The sequence below is a fragment of the Homo sapiens genome, chromosome 1 (assembly GCF_000001405.40).
Source record: "Homo sapiens chromosome 1, GRCh38.p14 Primary Assembly".
NCBI lineage: Eukaryota > Metazoa > Chordata > Mammalia > Primates > Hominidae > Homo > Homo sapiens.
The window spans coordinates 239,582,696-239,606,580 of record NC_000001.11 but is presented as its reverse complement, the minus strand read 5'-3'; the positions used below and the strand labels follow the sequence as shown (position 1 = coordinate 239,606,580).

The window sequence follows — 23,885 nt, the reverse complement described above, 5'->3', positions numbered from 1 at the left end:
AATCTACGGTCAGGCGCGATGGCTCACGCCTATAATCCCAGCACTTTGGGAGGCCAAGGCGGGCAGATCCCAAGGTCAGGAGATTGAGACCAGCCTGGCCAACATAGTGAAACCTTGTCTCTACTAAAAATACAAAAATAAGCCGAACGTGCTGGTGGGCGCCTGTAGTCCCAGCTACTCGGGAGGCTGAGGCAGGAGAATGGCATGAACCCAGGAGGCGGAGGTAGCAGTGAGCCGAGATTGCGCCACTGCACTCCAGCCTGGGCGACAGAGTGAGATTCTTCCCCCCCCGCACCCTCCCCAAAAAAAAACACACTAGAAATGAATGAAAAACATGTACTTAATTAAGTTAGAAATAATAATTCCATTAATATTAGCATAATTAAACAGTATCTTTTAATGAAAATAACACATATTCTAAGACAAAATTAGTAAAATGTGACATGATTTACATTTTTTGCAAATCTCTTCCATATCTGGCTTAACGAACAAACAGCTGGACTCTCTTCTCTGCTTCCGCACTCTGCGTACTACAATACTGCCCCTCATGAATCCTCTGGTCAAGTACACTGTACACTGAGAGAGTAAGAGCAAACAAGACCAATAGTCTCTTAGCAGTATTATGAAAATAGTTTTGACCATGGTAAACCCTGAAAAGACCCAGAGAACCCCCTTGGAAACTGAACCTAAAGTGACTTTGAATGATGTTTATTACCATTGATATGCATATACCTTTCTAAGTGTTATAAATGCCTGAATGAAAAACCTTCATTACCACTCAAGTAGTTCTCATATAGCTAATAAACTGACCTTATAAATGCCATAAACTTAAGTTATCTTAAATATCTTGATGGAGGACACAGAGATTTTTGCTCAAAATTCCAACTTTAAATGAATGATATGGTTATACATTGTAAACTGGAATTATCAGACTGTAATTCTAATGGGACAAATTCTTTTAAAATTACATCTGTAATTTTCAAACATAAACACATTCTCCTTAAAACAAAAACATTATATTATGATCATGATTCTTTTAAACATTTCTGTACAGTCATGCTTTGCTTAATGATGAGGATCTAGTCTAAGAAATGTGCTATTAGGTGATTTCCTCTTTATGGGAACATTGTAGAATGTATTTATGCAAACCTAGATGGTGTAGCTTACTACACACCTTGGCGATATGGTATAGCCTGTTGCTCCTCGGCTAATCTGTACAGTATGTTACTGTACTGAATACTGTAGGCAGTTGTTACACAATAGTAAGTATTAGTGCATCTAAACATATAAAAGATACAGTAAAAATACCATGTTATAATCTTATGGAACCACTATTACATGCACTGTCCCTCATTGATGGAAATGTCAGTATGTGGCACATAACTGTATTTATAATGTTAGCTCTCTGAAGCTTGGATAGTTTGTGTGGCTCTTCCTAGCAATCAGTGTAACTCAATCCTTACATGACTTCATGAAATATGTAATTCATCTTTACTTCATAAAAATAATATTGAATCAAATTTCTCTATTAAAATTGCAGTTACTAAATGGGGCAGTTTGACAATAAAGAAACCTTCAATGAAAGGAACCCATGAAAGTTGTAGGTTTGCATGGCAAAAACTAATAATAAATAAAAATAAAACAAATGAACCCCAATAAGCATTGATTAAGAAAGTAAAATGGAGAAAACTTACTCTGAAATTAAACAACCAAGAAATAGAGTGAACAATCTTCAAAAAGTATAGAAGTTCTAAAATATCAGTTAGCACGCTTCTTTCCCCCATTGTACCACTTCAGAAGAAAACTATCTGCAATGGCTGCAAATCCCTAGATTAAGGAAACAATGAAAATATCTAAAAGTTCTCAGGTTGGAATGCATCAGATATCATCTGTGTTGAGATCTATTTCTCTTGGATTATTTGCAAGCCACAGAAAATGATGCCAGCCTCTAGAGATCCAGGGTCTGTCCATTACGGAGGGCAGTTGCCACCCAACACACTGAGTAATCAGGGCAAAGAAAGCCAGCAGAGATTCACTTGTCTCTGGACGTAAATCTCAGAGAAGTAAGTATATTGCTAGACATACAGTGGGATACTATAGACAATCTTTCCATTTCTCAATAATTTCAGTCATAAACTAAAAGAGGTGAGAATGTGCTCAAGAATTTATCTAGCCCAGGAAGCATAAGAGAGGGAGATAAAATTAGTGAAATGATTGAATATTACGGCAATACTCTAAGTTGTATTTAGAGAGCTTTTTTTTTTTCAGATTGTCAGTTAAAAAAAAAACCTAGTTTCCCAGATGTGCTAAGAATTTTCTAATCCATTTAAAGTTTTATTACATTTCCAACTTAATAAATGTTACTCTTAAAGTGTAAGTAATCACCACCTTTAACTTAAGGAACACAAAAAACACAGACATGAGTATGTTTAATCCAGCATCTGCATCTCAAAGAACAACAAAGAAGAAGATGTTTAATTCAAAGAAAAATGATTTACACAAGGAAACTTTTTTAATGTATTTTAATTTGTAAATACACATTTTATGAATCCCCTTCATTTTTACTAATATATTACTGAGCATTTCATGTTTCTTATCTAACTTCATCTTTAACTGCATGTCTGAAAACTGATAATAGTAGTAAAGAAAACAAAATAGAACTTGGACCATAATTTGCTATCTTCAAATATTAGGAGTAGGAAATGACTAAGCTACATAAAATTAATTATAGTAATAATCTTTACCACAAACAGAACTTAATGCAAGACTAATTTTTATTGTAAAACTTATCATACCTGTAAACTGTCCATAATGTGTGTGCATTTATTAACACCCACGCACTCATGACTCAGCTTAGAAATACCTTGGAAGTACCCTGTGAGCGAATCATATAAGGTTAGTTTTCATGAAATATCTAATATTTCCTCTGGTAAAGCAAAGGGTTGGTTTTTAGATCCAGGTAGAAAAAGCAAAAAGAAAGATAGAAGCCCCTGGCTATAAAACCATGAGACCTCGACCTCATTGGCTTTGTCTATACATTCTTACTTAGTTTGAGAGCAACCTTCCTTCCAAATGCTAACTGAACACCATCCCCAGGTGAGAACAAGTAGATGAGGAGTCCCTAATTAGCATGCACTTACTTTATCCAAGGCCACAGAATCCGTGACCTTGCCTATCACTGAATGGTATTGGTGATAGCACCTGTTCAGAAAAACTTAGATATTTTTTAAATAGTAGCTTTATTGTTTATTCTTGCTTTATCTACCTATTCCAAAAAGCTAACTTGTCTATGTTCTCACCTTTAATTGTAAGGACTCTACAAAAAAATTTGAGATGAAAAATAAAAAATATGATACTTACAAAAAACAAAACCTATTATCCTATTGTGATAAGGAACTGACACATACTCAACATGGATGAACCTTGAGACAATCTGCTAAGTGAAAATGAGCTGGTCACTAAAATACAAATATTGTATATTCCACTTATATGAAGTATCTAGAGCAGTTGAACTCTTAGAAACAGAAAGTGGAATGGTGGTTGCCAGAGGCTGGGGGAAGGAGGAATTGGGGAAATGAGTTTAATGGGTACAGAGTACCAGTTTTGCCACATTAAAAAGGTCTGGAGACTGGTTGCACAACAACAGTGTACTTAGTAACATTACTGAACAACAGTGTACTTAATAACATTACTGCTATACAACAACAATGTACTTAATAACATTACTGAACTGTACACTTGTACACTTAGAAATTGTTAATATGGAAAATATTATGTTATCTGTTTTTACCATAATTAAAAAAATTTTAAAGAATTCTCTATATTATAAATATAAATTTGAAAAAGCAAAGTTTATAAACACACATGCAACATTTCTGATAATTCAATGCCAGATGAACATTCCTTACACTATTACTGCAAATAATGCTACACAAAAAACTTTTGTGTAGATGCTTAGTAAAGTGTTTCTAACCCTACATAGGAACAACTTCCAACAGGCTTTGTAAATAATTACTTGCACATTGAACTTAATGAAACAAACATGTATTAGGTGCCTACTATCTGTTTGTTATTTAAAATGCTACATTTTATTAACAGTTATTTCAGTTTTTTGAGTTTAAGATGGACTTTAAAGGGCAGATAGTTAATTTATTTTCCCCTACCAAAATGCATCACTAATGAAAATCTCATGTGAATTCAACATTTCACTCTCCCAGTTATTTCCTTGTCTTACCAAAATTCATAATCTTAAATGGATACTTCATCTATAACAATACCTAAAATTGTCCATGTTTCTTGCTAGAATGAATTTTTATTACTCGGGAGGCTGAGGCGGAAGACGGGCGTGAACCTGGGAGGCAGAGCTTGCAGTGAGCCAAGATCGTGCCCCTGCACTCCAGCCTGGGAGACAGAGCGAAACTGTGTCTCAAAAAACAAAATTATATATATATATATATATATATATATATACACACACACACACACACACATGTATATATGTATGTGTACATATGTGTGCATATATGTATATATATGTGTATATATGTGTATATATAGATATAATTTTAAAGTCAGAAGTGGCTCCTCTTAGTAAAAATATGATTAAAAAAACAGGATCAATTTATTGACATTATGGGCACTTATAAAGTCAAGGTATCGTGAGATGAAAGACGGAGGCAGTATCGAAGCTTTAAACTGAAGACTATTGTGGCGGAAAACAGTTATTGCACCACTAGGAACAAAGGGATATTTTTCAAATTTATATAAAAAGCACAGAAACAGAAAACAATGAAAAGGACAAAAGGGTCTAAATAACAACTATAAGAGCAGCCACAGAAGCAGAGCAAGAGCCACCATTTATCCGTTTGTTGAGCACTTATTATATTGGATATTTTATTTATCTCTTGTATTTAATCATCACAAAAAGTTTGTCAGAGTATTTCCTACCATTTTAAAAAATATGAAGACTAAAGGTTCAGAGTGGTTAATTTGTTCATTGCTACACTGTTGGTACCCATAAGCCTTTTTTTTTTCTAATGGGTCTTAAGACTATAAAACTCTAATAGGCCCACATTTTCTCTAAAACACATTTCCTTTATCTGACTCTAACCTCATTCCCATTTATTTCCCATTTTATGTCTCAATAAGCTCTGCCAGATTTTCATGCATATTGACATTTCCTTTAAGAAAATACAGCTTAAAAACCACTTCCATCACAGTGGATGAGTTAGGTCAAAAAAATTATTTGCTTGTTTTATGGATCAGGAAACAACCCAACATTGCCATTACTCACATCACCATCACTCACATTCTGTGCCTCTTTCAAACCTCCCATCCATCACCAAACAGCACAGATCTCAACAAAGTAACTGGAGAAGACACAAGATTTGAGAATGGAACTGGCTGAAATGAAGGTTCTAGCATGAGATTTACTCCCTTAGGATAATTAATACATTTCCTGAAATGTGAGGATCCACTTAAGAAGTTATATAATCCTCTCCACTGGATTCCTACAAATAATATTTCAAATGAGGGAGATGATTCCTGACTTCTATCATTAAGCTTTAAAATTACTCCCCCTGCCCCACATACTTTTAATCAAGGGGTTTAAAAATCTCAAATGGACTTTGTTGCACTATATGGAGAAAACACATTATCATTTAAGCTATGCTCAGAGACTGATGTTAAATAACAGACAGTGAATAGAGAGAAATGAGGAATGAATGAAAGAAAGAATGCATGCAATGTGAAAGTAAAGAGGAAGGAAGGAAGGAAGGAAGGAAAGAAAAGGAAGGAAGGAAAAGAAGAAAAAGGAAGGAAGGAAAGAAGGAGGGAGGGAGGGAAGGAGGGAGGGAAGAAGGAAGGAGGAAGGAAGGGGAGGAAAGGGAGAAGAAAGGAAGGAAGGGAGAGAGGGAAGGAGGGAGATAAATACTTCTTTGATATATTTATAGGTTGTTGCACATGTGAGTCAATTCCTATTTCTCAAGCTTCAATAAAGTAGCCCATCATTTTACCCTTCTTTTCTTTAAGTTAAAACATGACTTAGTTTCAACTTAATATATTCTGAGAAGAAAAGCCACTCATTGGGAACAAAAGATGTCTTTCTTGTTTCCATTCCTCTTCCAGGATATTAGCCTACCTGACACAATCTGGAAAAATGCCTATCAATTCACATGCACTGGGAGAGGTGCATAAGCAGGCGAAATGGAGTATGGCTGAAGTTTCACTCAAGCAGAAGAGCCCACATAGGGGTCAGCCTCCCAGGGCACCATACAGGATGAAAGAGGGCAGAGAATGCATTGGGATGGCCCCCCAAGACTAACCACCAACATGACTACTGACATGGTCACAGTAGAGATGATGTGGGTCTGAACAAAGGGAGTGGAGATGAGGATGGAGAGGAAGGAGCAGACACTGGAGATTTTTTGAGAGTTGAAATAAACACAACTCAGATGTGAACTGGATGTGAAGAAGATGGGAGCATTCACAGTTGACTGAGATTTTTGGTTTTGGTGATGGGTGGCACTGCTTTTAATCAGAAGAAGGAATATACAGCAAAATGCAGGTTGAGGGAGAAATCAGTTCTTACATGTGCATTTTATGTGTGAGAGTTGGTGGCACAGTCAAGTGGGTCTATATAGATGATCCCTGACTTAGGATGATCCAACACAATTTTTTTGACTAGGATAGTGTGAAAGTGATACGTATTCAGTAGAAACCATACTCTGAGTACCCATACAACCATTCTGTTTTTCACTTTCAGTATGGTATTCAATAAATTACATGAGATATTCAACACTATTATAAAATAGGTTTTGTGTTAGATGACTTTGCCCAACTGCAGGCTAATTTAAGTGTTCTGGGCGTGTTTAAGGTAGGCTAGGCTAAGCTATGATATTTGGTAGGCTAGATGTATTAAATGCATTTTTGACTTATCATATTTTCCTTGTACAATGGGTTTTTCAGGACATAGCCCCATGGAAAGCTGGGTAGCATCTGTACCCTAAGTTATGAAACACAAGTCTTGCACTCCTTCAGTGGGAAGTATGGGTGGGAGATGAAGTTTGGGTATAATCAGTAAATGGATAGAAGTTAAAGCCAAGGGAAAAATGGGAAACCCTTAAATACAGTGTCAGAAAAAAAAAAAAAAAACAGTAAACAGAGGATTTAGTAGTAACCCTGCAGAACATTAATATTTGAGGATCCAAGAATAGAAGAAAAGCCACCAGGAGCTTGCAAAAAAGACTGACAATGGATAAGAAGCCATAGAAACTATGAGGGAGAGCGTTGTCACTGTGGAAGAGTGTCACTGTGGAAGACAATTCAACAAGAGGATGGAGAAGTGTCCTGTGGATTTCATGATGAAACAGTCATTGTTTTATTGGGTGATGAAGGGAGAATCTCTGTTGCAGTTGGCAGAGCAGAAAATAAGAGACAAAGAAGTCGAGAAGGCAAAAGTCCTTTATCCTCTTACGTTTCCTAGTGATGGAAAGGAATGGAATGGAGCAGTGTCTACAACGGAAGATGGGATTAAGGGAGGGATCTCTTTAAAGCAGGAGAGAAATAAGATCCCAGGAAAGATATTATAGGAAGGAGCAGCCAGGAAGAGATTAGGGGAGGGCCAAAACATGAGTGAGTGGTACATAAATGTTTAGGGGCTGAGTGGGAAGCGTCCATGCGTGGTGGCCTCTGTGCAAGTTTGATGGCAGCATGGGTTTGGGGTGGGGGTGGGAGAGAACACAGTCTACACTCCCACTTATTTTGACCTCACAGCCCATATTCCCAAATTTGGAAAAAGCATTCTCCATTTTGAAAAAGAATAAGAAAAGGGGAAAAGGTAAGGAGTACTTCGGTATTTCAGAGCAGTTTGGACATATTCAAATTTTAAGAGCCAAATGAAAGTTTAAAGAAACCTGAAACCTTTGTTGCTGCTTCTCCAAACAAGTCAGGGGGTACTGTCCCTGCTCTGAGCTATCTGGGACTCGTTTTCAAACCATATTTGTGTCTTATTCTTAGTTGGGAACTTTTAATCAAGCAACCTCTAAAGTTTCAGGCTTGGATAAAGCAAGTTCAGTTTAACATGACTTCAATCAAAATACAATTATAAAGGCATTTATATTAAGACCAAGTTGCAAGCTCAGGCTTAGAATCAAGGTCTCCTGAGCCCAAGTCCAGCAGCCTTTTCATTATACCAATTTTATAAGACTATAAATGTAATGAGTACGATTTCATCTCAGGGAACATTCTAGATGCAAGGGAGCCAAGGAATAACACGCTTCTTGTTTGCTGTGAATCAACAAAGATCCAGATTTAAGCCCCTCTGCTGGACTGGCAGCGAAATCTAAACAATAATAATAATAGGAGAACAATAACAACCTCAATAGTAACTGAGGCCTTTCTAAGATCCTGGGGTCTTACAAAGCACTAGAGGAGGGAGAGCCTCACCTGCCCTGGTAGTCGTTTGTGAGCTGTGCGTCCTAGTGTGTGCCCCTGGCCTTCAGGACCCCTGGCCCTGGGCTGTGTTTTCTATGTGCCATGTTTAAGGCCCAGGAATTAATTTTATGATGCAGAAGTGAATGTCTAAGTCAAGTCTCGCTAGAACTTCCTCTGAACTCTTGCCTTGTCCCCAGACAATGCCACTGAACTGCACGAGACCCCTGTTCTCAGAGAGAAAGAAAGATTTGTCAAAGCTCTCCTTTCCCCTAAAAAAAAAAAAAAAAAACTCTGACAGTTTTTTTTTTTGACCACCTCAGGAATACCCAGTAAAAAAATCCCATCAACAAGTTTAGGCTTTTACAGAAGATGAGAAATGCTGCTGGCTGGAAAATAAAAACTTTTTAAAAACAAAATAGAGTTAAGAATTACTAAAGCATATTTGTATTTTAAATATTTACAGCATTTTTGTATTTTAAATATTTTTTATTTAGTTTTTTATCATTAAAGTGAGGTAAAAGGGAAAGTTGAAAGAGTAAACACAAGTTAGTATTGTAATGATATGACCAGATTTTAAGAAGAGACAAAAGAACAAATAAAAGGATATAATTAGAAACAATTCATGAGGAGAAAGCTAACTGCAGTCATCACATATAAAAAAATCTACAAGATCAGAAACTTTGGAAACCAGTTTTTACTGTGATATGGCTTAATAACTTGGACAAGACCTTTCAACATCTGCTACAGGTTAGCTACTGATGGTTATGCTGTCATGTATATCATTTTAGCATTCAGAAATAAATTTCCTTGTGTATAGGGCCATTGAAAACAAAAATAAAGGTGCAGTTTTTATAACACGAAAAATGAAAAGGCTTGAATTCTTAGAGAAAAGAGAACATATCCTATACCTTCTTTTTTCTCCGGTGCCCAGTTCATAGGAAATGTCTAAAAATGAATGCCGCTGATGATAATAAAATGGCAGAATATTATAAAAAGAGGAATATTCCCAAAAACATAAGTTGAAGTGAATTGTAACAGAGTTTTCACCCATATAGGCTTTTGGTTTATTTACATAATTGTGTTTATTTTATTTTAGTTTTTATTTTGACTTCTGCTTAAACTAAGAGCTATTCAGAAAATCACAAAAAGAGTTATTTTCTTAGTGAAAAGGTTCTCATTTTCAGACTTCTGCTTTCCTCTCTTCTGCTTCCACAGACACACACAGAAAAACCCAACAACTTTGCTTTGTGTGTCCTGAATCTTCTTAAAAATTTTTGGTCACTTGTACAGCATTTAAAAGATTATATATATGTGCAGATACTTAAAGAAAAAGCCACTTTTCTGCCCCCTTATCCATTAAATACTAACCTATTTTAAAATCACCTGGGCCTCAGAGATGACATCTGTTTGTTCAGAATGTGTTTCACATTCTAGACACTGAAATATACATTGCTACAAGAAAGCATCCTTTTCAAAGCATAATGATTGAAACTAGAGTCCATTCTCTGATTTAAAACTAATCAATTAATTTATTAATTAAAATTAAAATTCATCAGGTATATACTTATCTTTGAAATATATTTTGATCCATCGAAAAGAAATGGCATAGTTATCTTGCTATTTTTAAAACCTGTCCTATTCTTCAAATAGTAAAACAATGATTTGTTCTTTTTGCTGAGAATTTTTTAAATAATAGAGGCACCTCTTTGGTTCTCCTCTTAGGACTCTGCTCCTCATACAAGCTGCTGAAGGTCTCCCCTTTTGTACTTGCAGCTCTCCTTCCACTTAAAAAAAAATTAAATAAAACTTTTAGGGACATATGGCTTTTCTTCCACCTCCATGTTTCAAATTTACTTCAAAACACCTACACAGAGTTGGAGGTTTCTAAAGTGTCAACAGCTGAAATGTCCCAGGAGCTGTAAATGCCTTTCATGTAAAGAGTCAGAGATGGAAAATTACTAGTTTTAAAGAATGAAAAAGCAGGCAGCCTTAGAGAGGTTATCTCAACATTGATTTATTTCTATGAGACCTCAAATGTTTTAATAAAAGAGAAATGGAACAAATGTTAGGTATAAAATTGCTCAAACTTTAACTTTTATAAATACATCCAGGTAAAACACTTAAAAGTGGATTTTGTTTTGCTTTGATTAAAAATGAGAAGCGTGAAATTACACTGATTCTTAGTCTAAAGACATTATATGTTTTAGGCAAGGTTCTGTCTTCTAAAAATAACAACATATAGTAAAAAGGATTGGTATAACAGTATTCAGAATTATGGGACTATCTGTAAAATTAAAGAAATAAATACTAAAATAAAAAAATGGAGCTATATTTTGGCACTGATGTTTAAATTAGAATATATTCCCCTGGTATACAATCCAAATTTCACCAACACTGGAGCAAATGTACCATTTTAGAGTGAAATGGTTTAAATAAGTCAGACTTGTTTGTCTAAAGAAAATTCTAATCTCTTCCACCCAAATGAATGAATACTGAATATTGTCCCAAGATTACTTACAAATCTCACAGGCTTGGCAAATTGGATAATTGAAAGAGAAGTTAGAAAATGCTATTATAACACAAAGAAAGTAAGCAAACATCTTGGAAATACATCATTTCCAAATACTTAAATAAATCCAAGGATTTTGTGCTTTATAAAAATAAAGCATAGATAAATAACTTAAAAAATAGAGATCTAGTTGAATATGTCAATATCTTAAGTCATGGAAAATATTTTGCAGACACACTCTTCTTTCAGTTACTCAAAATAATACTACAGTCATCCCTTGGTATCTGCAGGAGATGGGTTCCAGGACCACCTGAGGATACTGAAACCTGGGGATGCTCAAGTCCGTGATATAAAATGGTATAATATTTGCATATAACCTATGCACATCTTCCTGTTTACTTTAAATAATCTCCAGATTAACTACAATACCTAATGCAGTGTAAATTCTATTTACACAGTTGTTTTGCTGTATTGTTTAGGGAATAAAAGTCCATACTTGTTCAGTACAGACACAATCGTTTTGTTGTTTGTTTGTTTGTTTTTCTTTTTGAGACAGAGTTTCACTCTTGTTGCCCAGGCTGGAGTGCAATGGCACAATCTTGGCTCACCATAACCTCCACCTGCCGGGTTCAAGCGATTCTCCTGCCTCAGCCTCCCAAGTATCTGGGATTACAGGAATGTGCCACCACGCCCGGCTAATTTTGTATTTTTAGTAGAGATGAGGTTTCTCCATGTTGGTCAGGCTGGTCTCAAACTCCTGACCTCAGGTGATCCTCCCGCCTCAGCCTCCCAAAGTGCTGGGATTATAGGCATGAGCCACTGTGCCTAGGCCTGATACAATTTTTTTCCAAAGATTTTTGACATCCATGAATGCAGAACCCAGGGGTATGAAGGGCCTACTATATTACCTTTCTTAAAAGACTTTCTTTTCACCATATATTCCATAAGTTTTCTGCATGCCATTTGAATTTTAGCTATTAAAAATGAAATAGTGAGAGATCAAACTGTGAAGTGGCCCAAAATGTATCTGAAATTGCACTTTCTCAAAACACCTCAAAAGTTTGAGATGGTGAAGACAGTCTTACAGCAGACTTTAAATTAAAATGAGCCTTTTCACCAATGACAACTTGATTCTGTGACAACAAATTCACAGGTTTTAGACTAGAACCTATATACTAGTGCAACAATACCACAGCTACATTCATAATAATGATATTGTCGTATGGATACAAACAATGCTTCTCATAAACACAAACAGCTTGCAAAATGTATTCTTTGCCAGTGCATCTTGTGATACACACCACATTTAGAAAATTCAACCTATTTGGGGAAAAGCTTTGTTGCTGCCACTTTTAGCTTCCTAACAAAAGTCAACAAACTGCCAAGTAGTACAATCGTGCTTATCAAATTTGTCTGGCTTTAAAAATGCAGCTTTGTTCTCTTACTGATAAATCAAACAAGTCAATATGAAGTACTTCACTTTTGATTTCCAAATGTTAAAACTAATAATGCTAAATTGTGTCATAACACAGAATACAGAAATAATTTCTACCTAACAAAATAATTTAGACATTAAAAGGGAGAAAAAAGGATACCTGCTTATATTTTTTACAAGACTTTCTGATGTATTACATGCTTGATGATAATTATTAATACAGCTTAAAAGAGAGTAAAAGATGTTAATGATATGGAAAATGCCTAAGAGCACAATTAAAGAGGTTATATAGCACAGTAAATGATGAACTTGCTTATCGGTGGATTTGAACATCAGGGTTTAATTACTATTCTAAAGATTTATTTACAACTTAATGGCAATTGATTTTGAGTAAGGGTTATAGGTGCTAAGAATTGCTCTTGAACAAGCTTGTAATCAGATGTGGTAATATGTCAGGCATGCTAATGACTTCTGCTCTCCCTGAGCCAGAATGAAGATCTCTATCAGTGGATATTTTGTTTAACCTGGTAGTTCACGTAGAGCCTGACACTGTATCCTCAAGTTGAGAATTGCTACCGTATTGAACTACTCTTAGTTCTAATATTCATCGTCATAGTTCATCTCTGTGGTGTGAACTAAATATTGAATGACAACAGCCTAGTAAACAGATCACAGCATTGATCTCAGACAAATGAAATAAAATATTTGAGTTTTTTTTTTTTAAAAAGAAATGGTCTAACGTAAGAAATAAATCAAGTGAATCCAATTATTACTTTGGTCCAATGCTCCAAATGATCATGGAAACTAAAGAAGAAATCAGGGCCTCAGGCATCACACTGAAGATCAGTTAATAAACAAAAACAAAAACAAAATGGAACACCACCATAAAAGCTGACAGTGTCTGATGAGGAAAAAAATGGCAGGGCTACTCTAGGTAAAGAATAAAATTTTGGTTTTTAAGGTCAATCATGGTATATTCCATCATGCTTAAAAAAGTATAAGGTCAATCAGTGAGCAAACAGATACTAATCAGATAATCCCATAAACATAAACAGAGGGGTAAAGTATATAAGGAATGAATGACCTAATTGATTTTATCAGCAAAGCTTCTCTGGGGAATACTTCTATTTGAGTTGCAACTGGGCTAGACATGGGCTGCAGCAGGGTGGAAGATGGGGAGTTGAGGAAGGTGTAAAGGATGATAGGTGAGTTTCTGGCTTGTGCAACAGGGTAGGTGATGGAGCCTACAGTGCATCGGGGGAGGAGCGGATCTGGGGTGGAGTGGGAGATCATGAGTCCAACAAAAAAGAACAAGTGTGAAACCACAGAGAGCAATGACTGATTAAGCACAAAACGATGCAATGGACCCAACAGAATGAGAACATGGACCTACACAAAATCTTGTACATGAATGCTAATAGCCACGTTATTCAAAATAGTCCCAAAGTGGAAACAACCCAAATGCCCACCAACTGATGAATGGATAAATGAAATGTGGTATATTATGTGGTATTTCATTTACCACACAAATGAAATGTGGTATATCACATTATTTGGTGATATAAAAAAATGAAGTACTGATATATGCTACAACAGGAATGAACCTTGAAAATACTATACTAAGTGAAAGAAGCCACTCACAAAAGACCATGAAATGAAATGGTCTTATGGAATATTATTCCACTTATTATGACATTTCAAAAATAGGGATATCTATAGAGTCAGAAAATTAGTGGTGGCTTAAGGCTGGGGAGGTGGGGAGAATGACATGGCTATTAACAGGCATGTGTTTTCTTTTTTAGGGTAATGGAGATGTACCAAAATTAATTGCGATAGTTACATTAAACACCACTAAATTGTACATTTTAAATGGAAAAAATATCATAAGGTCACAAGTTTTCAGACTAGATATATGTTAGAGGGACAAAGCAAAAACCTCTTCACTGCAATGAAGATTTCTGAGAGTAAAGTTCAATTTTAAATATAGTTATGCCATTACAATGTCTAGGACACTAGACTATGGATGGATGTCATGTAACATGGACTCTATCTATTTTTAATGAAGACATGGTGAGAAGGCCTAATTCAAATGAATAAGCTCCTCTTACAGAAAGCAATCTACCTCGCCAGAGAGAAAATAAAAGACTGGAATTCTGGAAACACAGAACCATTTGTTCTGCCAGCTCAGAGCTCTAGTTTAGGGATCTAGGGCTTAAGAGTGACCAACAGTAAAAGGCCCTGCCAATCAAGGCCTCTGAACTTTTATTTCCTGGGCCTAAGCCAACCAAATGTCTCCCATGTTACTTATTACTTTCCCTCCTGAGGACATAGAAATGACACCCTTCTTCCTTATAAAAATAAACAAAATGCTATCACTTTGCAGGACATAAAATTTGTAGCAGGCTTCAGCTACTTCGATAAAACTTCACAACTGTGTTACTGTACTGCGTTCTCAGACACAAGGCCCAATAACATACTTGTTTGGGACTCAGTTATTCTGAACTTTCAGCTGACAGCCCATCCATTTACTTCAGTGGCTATTAAAATGCCATTTCCGAATCTTAGTTCAGAGTAATCTTGTTTCTTTTTTTTTTTTTCATCTCCAAGAAAAGACGGCACGCATGGTGAATTTTGCTATAGTCTTGATTTTGAAGTAAATAGAAATAACACTTCCTAAGCAGTCCGCTGCAGTCATTGCTTTAGCACGTTAAGATGGTGTGACCAAATTCTGTCACCTTAGCTGTGAACTGAACATAAGAGACAAAAGCGCAGGTGATTCCAGCTATAGGCAAGACAATGAAGTATGTACATCCTGTCTCTGTGCCAGGAAATGTCAGAAAAGCAGGGACAAAGGTGAAGGAGATGTAAAGAAAACCAGAGTTTTCCATGTGGGTGGAGGCTAGATTACCAACACTAGTAATGGAAGCGTGTGTCACAGGAGAGAAGCTTGACCCAAGGAAGGAAGGGAGACCAGCGCAATTTTATAGAGGCGGAATTGTCACCAACTACAATGAGGAAGGTGCACAGCCGCTGGTCAAAACTGAGGATCAGGAGAAGGCCAGGGCTAGCCTAGAGATAAATATTTGAATGTCTTCTTCATAAGCAGCTTTCCATAACTTTCAATGTAACACACAGAACCTATTATGTTTCCCATGTGTTCTCACCAGCGCCCAGCATAATGAGCATTAACACTTACTGTGATGGGGAGACTGTTTCCATGAATGCCAACTGAGATCTAGAAGACTGTGTTAGGTTTTTAACAGCCATATCCTACAATGGGATTATATTTGAGTTTGTAACCACCTAAAATCCTCAGACCTTCTTTTTTTTTCCCATGAAAATGAGTGAGTCTCTTGTCTTTTATCTGTATGATAACATTTTAAATTTAAATATAGGGTTTTATGTTTATTCCTGTTATATTTAATCTCTTTGGTTTTGATCCAGCAATTCAGCCTGCCAAAAATTCAGATTGCTAAATAAGGGATACCAATCAGATGTTTTCTATCTTCCCTGGAGAAACTAAGGAACTTCAAGTTTAAAATGCCTCATGAAGAATTGGGATAAAATATAAAGAATTTCCTGAAGAAAGGGTAAGAGAAGCTAGAAGAGGGATAGGGGAAATTTTTAATCTCTAATTTTTTTAATTATAAAGACTTTTTAAAAAATTATAAAAGTTCATCTTATCAAAAACGGTTACAACAATCTTCTTAGGGATATACCCACATTCAGGAGAACTGGCTATATTTCCTTTGGTTCCCAAATGTACTTGTTTCATATCTGTAAGATGTATTATCCTTCTTTGTGTATTTGTCCTCTCCTTCTGTTAGACTATAAAGTCTCTAAGGACATGAATCATATCTTATTGGTCTTCATATACCCAGAGATATAATGGGCATTTAACATATTTTTAATGGTTGATTTAAATCACTGAATAAATTGAAGGGAAAGTATGAGGGAAAGAAATTCAATCATTTCATCAACAAACATTCAGCACTTACTCCACACCAGGAGTAGCTAGGGATTCCCAGAGCAAATCCACCATCCTGGCCTCCTGAGGGATGATGAGAAGAAAGGAGACAGACTAGATGATCTATGAAGGTGACCTTGAATCTTGTGGATCCATCACAGCCACGATTTTAGGTCCAAGACCATCTACATTCAAACATTATAATACACTTCAGAGAGAAATATAAATAAAGGAAGATTTTTAAAATTAATGATGCTAAAACTGTGGGTTTTTAAATAAAAAATAAAAGCACTTACATTTATCACTAAGGCATTTTATGGCATTTAAATACACATAATCTTGTTTCTAAAATCATGCATCTATTGTGGACTTACAAGTTCTTCAGATGCATAGTCAGACATATGTGTATATATAACTATATACATAAAAAAACTATATATATAAAACTATCAACAGCCTCCTACCTGTGTAGACATCTTTTTGCCAAAGATAATTTAAGGTGCTAATTGCAAGCACTGTTCATGAAAAAGAAATTCACATATTAGTGCATGGAAATTACATAAAACTATATATATATATATATATATATATATATATAGTTTTTTATATATATGCATGGAAATTACATAAATATATATAGGTGCTAATTGCAAGCACTGTTCATGAAAAAATTTCACATATTAATGCATGGAAATTACATAAAACTATATATATAGTTTTATACATATGCATGAAAATTACATAAAACTATATATATATGAAACTATGTATACACATAGTTTTATGTAATTTCCATGCACTAATATGTGATTTTTTCATGAACAGTGCTTGTAATTAGCATCTTAAATTATCTTTGGCAGAAAGATGTCTACACAGGTAGGAAGCTATTTTCACTCAGTTGAGAGATGTAGTAGATATTAAATTTGGTTCCTTATTGTAATCAGTATATTAACTATTCACGAGAATTAATACTTTTCCAGTTCTCATTTAAAATAATGTTTCAGACTGGGCACAGTGGCTCACGCCTGTAATCCCAGCAATTTGGGAGGCTGAGGAGGGCGGATCACTTGAGGTCAGGAGCTGGAGACCAGCTTGGCCAACATGGTGAAACCCTGTCTCTACTAAAAATACAAAAATCAGCCAGGCATGACGGCACGTGCCTGTAATCCCAGCTACTTGGGAGGCTGAGGCAGGAGAACTGCTTGCACCGGGGAAGCAGAAGTCGCAGTGAGCCAGGATTGCACCATGGCACTCCAGCTTGGGGGACAGAGCGAGACTCCGTCTAAAAAAAAAAAAGATGCTTCATAACTCACTAAGATGAACAGTTTTGCTTTCTTATAACACCTGCAGGTCCAAGGTAAATTTAACAAGTGATTTTCTTTTCTATAAAGTGGTCTGGACATTTGAGAAATATATACATGTATTTCTATTCATTCCACTGTTCTACATATTCAAAGTCTATGCAAATTTTGTAGATGGTAGCACTCCACAGAAACACAAGTTGTACCTGTTATTAGCAGCATTTTCCAGACCTTGTGCATCTGGTCTAGTGGCATTTTGGTTCTTTTGTCACAGGACAAAAGCAGGACGCTGGGGCATAAGACAGTTAAAAATATGTTTTGAAGGGCCTCACTGATCTTTCATTTTCTTTTAATATTCAAAATCATCTTTTGTTCACAGGAGGAAGATGATTGTGTACTGAATGATTGCAATAGAACATCTGAAAATGTAAAATGAAAAGGATAACTGAACTTTTCTATGAAGAGCTTGATTATGGCCATACATTGAATTAATGAGCATTCAGTGAGTCCACAGTTCTTTGTTGAGGGTCTCCTGCATGCCATACACTGTGCTACGTCCTGGGGCTCCATAAATTCTTTGTTAACAAAATAAAAATACCCCCATACAGAGAAGCACTTTCAGATACATTACCTCATCTCTAACAGAACACACAGTCAACAGAACCATGCGGAGGCTGATCAATATTCTAAACAATAGTTTCATAAATACTGTCCCTAGACTCGTCTACTCACTGGGAGCTGCAGGGGTTGGTATTCTAGCTAGCAAATGAAACAATCTGCATACATGCTTAAATCAAGTTTGTTTAAAATTAGAAAATGGCATAATGTATTCAAAAGTTTTTATGCAGTATTTGCATGGAATTTAAAATATGCTACATGCTTTGAATTAGGAGAGCAGAGCGATGTGTAGCTCATCTATTGGTCTGATCGAATGTTTAAAAATCAAATTTTAGAGAGCTCTGTACTTAAATAACTGTAAAAGAAAATAAAATCAGAATGCATAAGTTTGTTTACTGGTCTAATAAAAGTATAATTAGCATATGTGAGAAAACCAGATTGGTTAAATAAGATCTGTAAAATTTAAGTAAATATGAAGCTCCTTTTGTTGCTTAGCAAATGAGAAAGTTTATTTAGGTTCAAGTCTGAGGAAATGTTTCTCTTGGCCAGACTACACTTTTGTAATGGTGACTATAATTCCTGAATGCAGCCCTGGAAAAATGACTTCGTTGCTTAGGAGTTAAGAAAACTTGAGAAAGTTAGAAGTATGGGACAGAGATAGGTAGATACTCTGAAACATTAAATAAAGATTATTAAGTGTCTACCGGTAATTTGATCAGTTTTGCCAACTGCACTATATTTCATTGTACAGTTGGCTTAAAATTGCCCCTCATACTGCATTGGCAACCCTCTGCTTCCTGATGTTCTTGCCTCAGCTTATAAATGAAGAAAATTTTCAATGAGAAAAAAGTTCTTTCTGGTGTCTTTGGCAGGGGAAGGCAAAGCGGGAGGGGAGGACTCTCTATCTAGCTTATATCTCTCTTGCTACCATATTTTTCATCAAAAGGAAAGAAGCTGACGTAAATGACTGGTAAGAGGCTGGCCTGTATGTGGCTTTGTTATTACCACAGGAAGGAGGGCTGAGTTGGTCCCTTCAATGGGAAGTGAGCAGCATGCTACTGTCTCTCTGTGGCAAGTACGTGGATCTGCAAGAAGCCACCAGAACCTACCTCACTGCTCTGTACAGCACGTGGAGGTGAGGCCAGGGGCCTGCTTGCCAGAGGGTGGTCAGAAAGGTCACCACGCGCTGATTTCTGATCATCCTGTGACAGAATGTGTGAGGTAGCGCTGAAGTCAACTCTTTCCCGGCTCAGGGAAGAGGACATGGCTCCAGCTTCTCTACAAGCATGGGAAGGAATAGGCTTGAGGAGTTAGTAGGAGCCCAGATTTCTCAACCAGCCATGTTTTCAAATCCAGCTTTATCCAAAAGACCTGTATTTTGGGAGATGCCAATATCCATCAATAATACAGTTAAAGCTTCAACTTTCCCTTTTTTCTCTTGGTCTCTACCAGACAGAATCTAGAAAGAAGAGGCAAAAAGTTGGCAATCCAAACTTTTAGTATCAATCCTAGAACTGGGTGTAGCTCAGGAAACATCACATAAAGTGCAGGAAATAATTATAACTCACTGAAAGAAATTTAGAGTCTTATAGCACTTTTTTTTGCCTGAGTGTCAAAATTATAATTTCCCCACAAACAAGGAGAAAGCATGCAACATATCTGCTTTATAACATCCCAGAATATAAAATAAAAAGAACTGAAATATTTCTAAAAGAACAGCTGAGTACTTTAAAAATAAATTAATGGTAGATATAAGCATAAGATCCTTGAAATGTTGAAGAATGGGAAGGGGATTATTTTCTGGCCTTTAGTTTGGGTTCCAAGAGTTATCTAAAATTTTATTTTTGTCTGTGTTTTGATTCATGAGTATTCAAAGCCCTGACATTTTCTTTGAGAAACTTCCATGCTGCAAAAAAATAGGCTGCAGTCCAAGCTCACCTCCACAATTTTCACATAAAGACCTTTACAGCTTATACAGGCCACAGTTATGTATTAATAAGCTTTGGTGTAATTCCAGAGCTAACATCCACAAAAATACAGCAGCAAAAAATAAATAAAAAATAAAAATAAACAAAAAACAAAAAACACCTATATAATTTTCAGTCAGTTCTGACTCAGCTTAGCCTCAGATATTGTTTTATAAAAAAATCTAAACATGTTTGGCACATTAATTCACAGATGTCAGAGGTTACTGGGCCTGTCTGCCTCCCACGGGAGGGCAGGGAGTGGACAGAAATTACTCTTTCAGAGACACAGCATGGAAGAGTAGAAAGTGGATGGATTTCCAATACCTTAAACCAAGATCTGCATTATGATTTATTAGTTGAGTTCTCCTAGGCAAAATTATGTTACTCAACTGGAGCAAAGTATTCTCATCTCTAAAATGGGAATGATAAATAAAACTGACATTGCAGGGGAATCTTTTTTAGTTGAAGCAAAATGCTTGGGAAATAATTAGTGCATATTCATCTATTTGTTTTTCTTTCTCACTGCATGCTCTGCAAAATTCTGTATAAGATGGCTGACTATATTTTACAAACCAAGTTAACCCTGCTTTGGCCATTTAAAATTCATATTTTATCTCTCTGCTTAAAGTATAGGATGTATTGAAATACAAATGTCCATTGACTTTTACAATATTCAGTCTGAGAAGGAGAGTAGTAGTATACCTGCCAAGCATTTATTCCCATCTCAAACTGTGATGGTTAGTTGCAGCTACACTGGACCATTCAGCTGGGCATTCACTCTCAGGTACTGCTATGGAGAGAAAGGCTGACGGTTGCCCTTTATGACAACATGATTAAAGGGGAGGTGTTTCTTCCACACATCTCTAATCCATGAAAGGGTACAGGATGTTCTGCTCCATTCATGCATCACATCTTCACTTCCTTTAGTAATCTTAGTAATTTCCTTTAATCTTAGATACAACTGCTCAAAATCTTTGCCTACCAACCTCAGCTTAAACATATCTCAACTCACACCTACTGGGGACACACTTCTCTCCTAACCAGCTGGGTGACTCCCATGAAGGCACTGAACACCTAGCTCATAAGAAAACTTATAATCACAAGAGAAAGGAAGGACAACCAGTCATTATTCAAATAGAATTTCCAGATTATTATCCTTTTAGCATCAAAAGCTCCTCAACTGTATTTGCACGTGAATATGTGCCTAAAAGTATATATATACACATATATGTATATGTATACATGTGTATATATGTATATACGTATGTGTGTATACATATATATATATATATATATATTTAATTGTTGCTCACCTGAAGAATGGTTGCCTCTTCCAGTTGCAAATCATGAAATTATTTGAATCACTCTAACCAGAAGCTAGTTTAGAAGCTTACAAAATTAATTGTATCTTAGGATTATGATACTGATATCTCAGTGAACATGAATTTGAGTTCTTAATGAGCTTTGTAAGCAGGAAGAACTACAGTTTATGTGTGCTCACCAACACAATGTCCATATAACCAACAGACGCTTTTCCAACTGGCTTTGGAAGGAAATTAGAAGAGACAGATTCTGAGTTAAGTGGGGAAGATGGTCACCACACTTGGCACTTTGTGGGGGCTAAATCTGGACTCTAATGAAAATCCCTTGAATCCCAAGCCACCCAAGACTCGAATCCTCTACCCAGCATTTTATGCACTTTCATTAGCTCCTAAAGAATTCATCTGTTATGTCATAGCATTCTTCAGTCTATTTAATGTTTATTCTTATCTTACCTCTCTTCTTTTCTTACATATGTTCTTCAATACACTACTTAAAATATTTGAATTTAGTTTAACAAAGCTATAAAATAATCCTCATTTTTAAAAAGCCCAAGAGTTTATGGATGCTAATCAGTTGTATCTTTGTTTTCTATCTCAGCCGCTCAAAATAATTATTCTAGGCAAAGCATAGTGGCAGTGACTCACACCTGTAATCCCAGCACTTTGGGAGGCTGAGGCGGGCAGATCACTTGAGATCAGGTGTTCGAGACCAGCCTGGCCAGCATGGCAAAACCCTGTCTCTACCAAAAATACAAAAATTAGCCAGGCATGGTGGCACACACCTGTAATCCCAGCTACTCGGGAGGCTGAGTCAGGAGAATCACTTGAACCCAGGAGGCGGAGGTTGCAGTGAGCCAAGATCGCACCACTGCACTCTAGCCTGTCTCAGAAGACTTTGTCAAAAAAAAAAAAAAAAAAAAGAAGAAGAAGAATGACTAATTCGAATCCAACATGAGAAAAATACAACCATGTTCTGATTTTGTGGTGCAGAACAAAGTCTGGGAGGAGGTGAAGGACTCCTGCGTTCCCCCAGCTGACAAGGGGCAAAGCAGGTATTTTCTATTCCTCAACGCCTAATCTAATGGAATCATGAGGTTTAAGTTTGTGGTGTGTTCACTGGCCAGCAGGGTAGGATAAAACTCATAATTTAAAGCATTTTTTTTCTCTAAATAGTCACAAGAGTTTTGCAAAACTTCCCAAGCTAGAGTAAATAAAAATGAATGATTAGTAACTATTCTGACAATAAAAATGTGCTGGGTGATAAAAAATAAAACAAAGTCCTTTTATGGTGATTACGCTGATGACTTTCTGCTGTCATGAAGCCAAATGGACTAAATTAAATAAATCTTATATTTCTGTTCAGAAAAGTGGGTGTGGGGAAGGAGAAAAGGGAGAGAAAAGCAAGTCAGAACTAGTAAATTTACATTCAAAGCAGTTCTTATCTAAGTAACTAACCAGCAAGAATAAATTCTTAGACTAAGTATCTCTATACTAAATTGACCTGCATGACCATAGCTCTCTGTGTCGACGTCCCGTCTTCCCAACTACATTGTCTAAAACTTTGAAGACATGGATTGTGCCTTATAGCTCTCACGTCTAGCACATTGCCAGGCATAGCAGAGACATTTCCTATTTCTTGAATGAATGCATTATTTCTTGTGTCTAGTATTTAATAAGCTCATAACAAATATTTTTGAGACTGGTGATATATTTGACCATTTCCACATTTCATACACTCAATGAATCATTTGTAATTAAGTTGTCTACAAGTACATATGCATGTTTAATACAAAATACACAAATAGTATTAACATACTGCCTTCCCGTATGGTTCACTCATACATGTGACCTGCCCACACAGCCCACACAGAATTTCGCTCTTTCAAGGAAAACAGATACTAAACTATCAACTGCTCTAAAGCATGGTGAGGGAACTTCACATGGTCCATGGTGAGGAAAGCTCCACTGATTGGGTGACAAGGAAGATGGTGGCTGGCATTGAAGGCACAGGTATGAGTGAGCACTCACATCCAAGTAATTGAGAGGAGCACAGACTGGCTGGAGAGCAACAGGGAAGAGGCAGAGTAGCTTCTATGACTCTGGAGAGCTCACTGAGGACCAGATCAGAGAGTGTCTCATAAATCAAATTAAAGTCTGTGGATTTTATCCTAATGAAAGACACTGGAGAGTTCTGAGCAAACTCACGGCTCGATCCCATGTGATTTTGGAAATTTCACGCTAGTCACTGTGTGAAGAATGCCTTCTGTAGGGGAGTGACATAGTTAAGTGGCCAGTTATTACGCTGTTTTAGTAACCCAGGAAAGAGAAGATGA

General features: G+C 36.3%; 1 protein-coding gene and 1 long non-coding RNA gene across 31 annotated transcripts in view; one reads left to right on the top strand and one right to left on the bottom strand.

Annotated features, from left to right (window-relative positions):
• Positions 1–15,901, top strand: part of LOC105373225 (uncharacterized) — a 42,892-nt gene extending 26,991 nt beyond the window's left edge. Inside the window, exon 4 of one of the 2 annotated variants that reach the window (XR_007066968.1) lies at positions 15,822–15,901. This is a non-coding gene — a long non-coding RNA (uncharacterized LOC105373225). Of the gene's footprint in view, positions 1–15,544; positions 15,625–15,821 lie in introns of those variants that run through there. The other variant, XR_007066969.1, reaches the window with a different exon arrangement.
• CHRM3 (cholinergic receptor muscarinic 3) overlaps positions 1–23,885 on the bottom strand; it is a 528,883-nt gene that overhangs the window by 308,870 nt on the left and 196,128 nt on the right. Inside the window, exon 1 of one of the 29 annotated variants that reach the window (XM_017000157.3) lies at positions 16,376–16,852. The exons of the other annotated variants lie outside the window; for them this stretch is intronic. The gene's annotated coding sequence lies outside the window, so the exon portion shown is untranslated. Of the gene's footprint in view, positions 1–16,375; positions 16,853–23,885 lie in introns of those variants that run through there. 29 annotated transcript variants of the gene reach the window in all.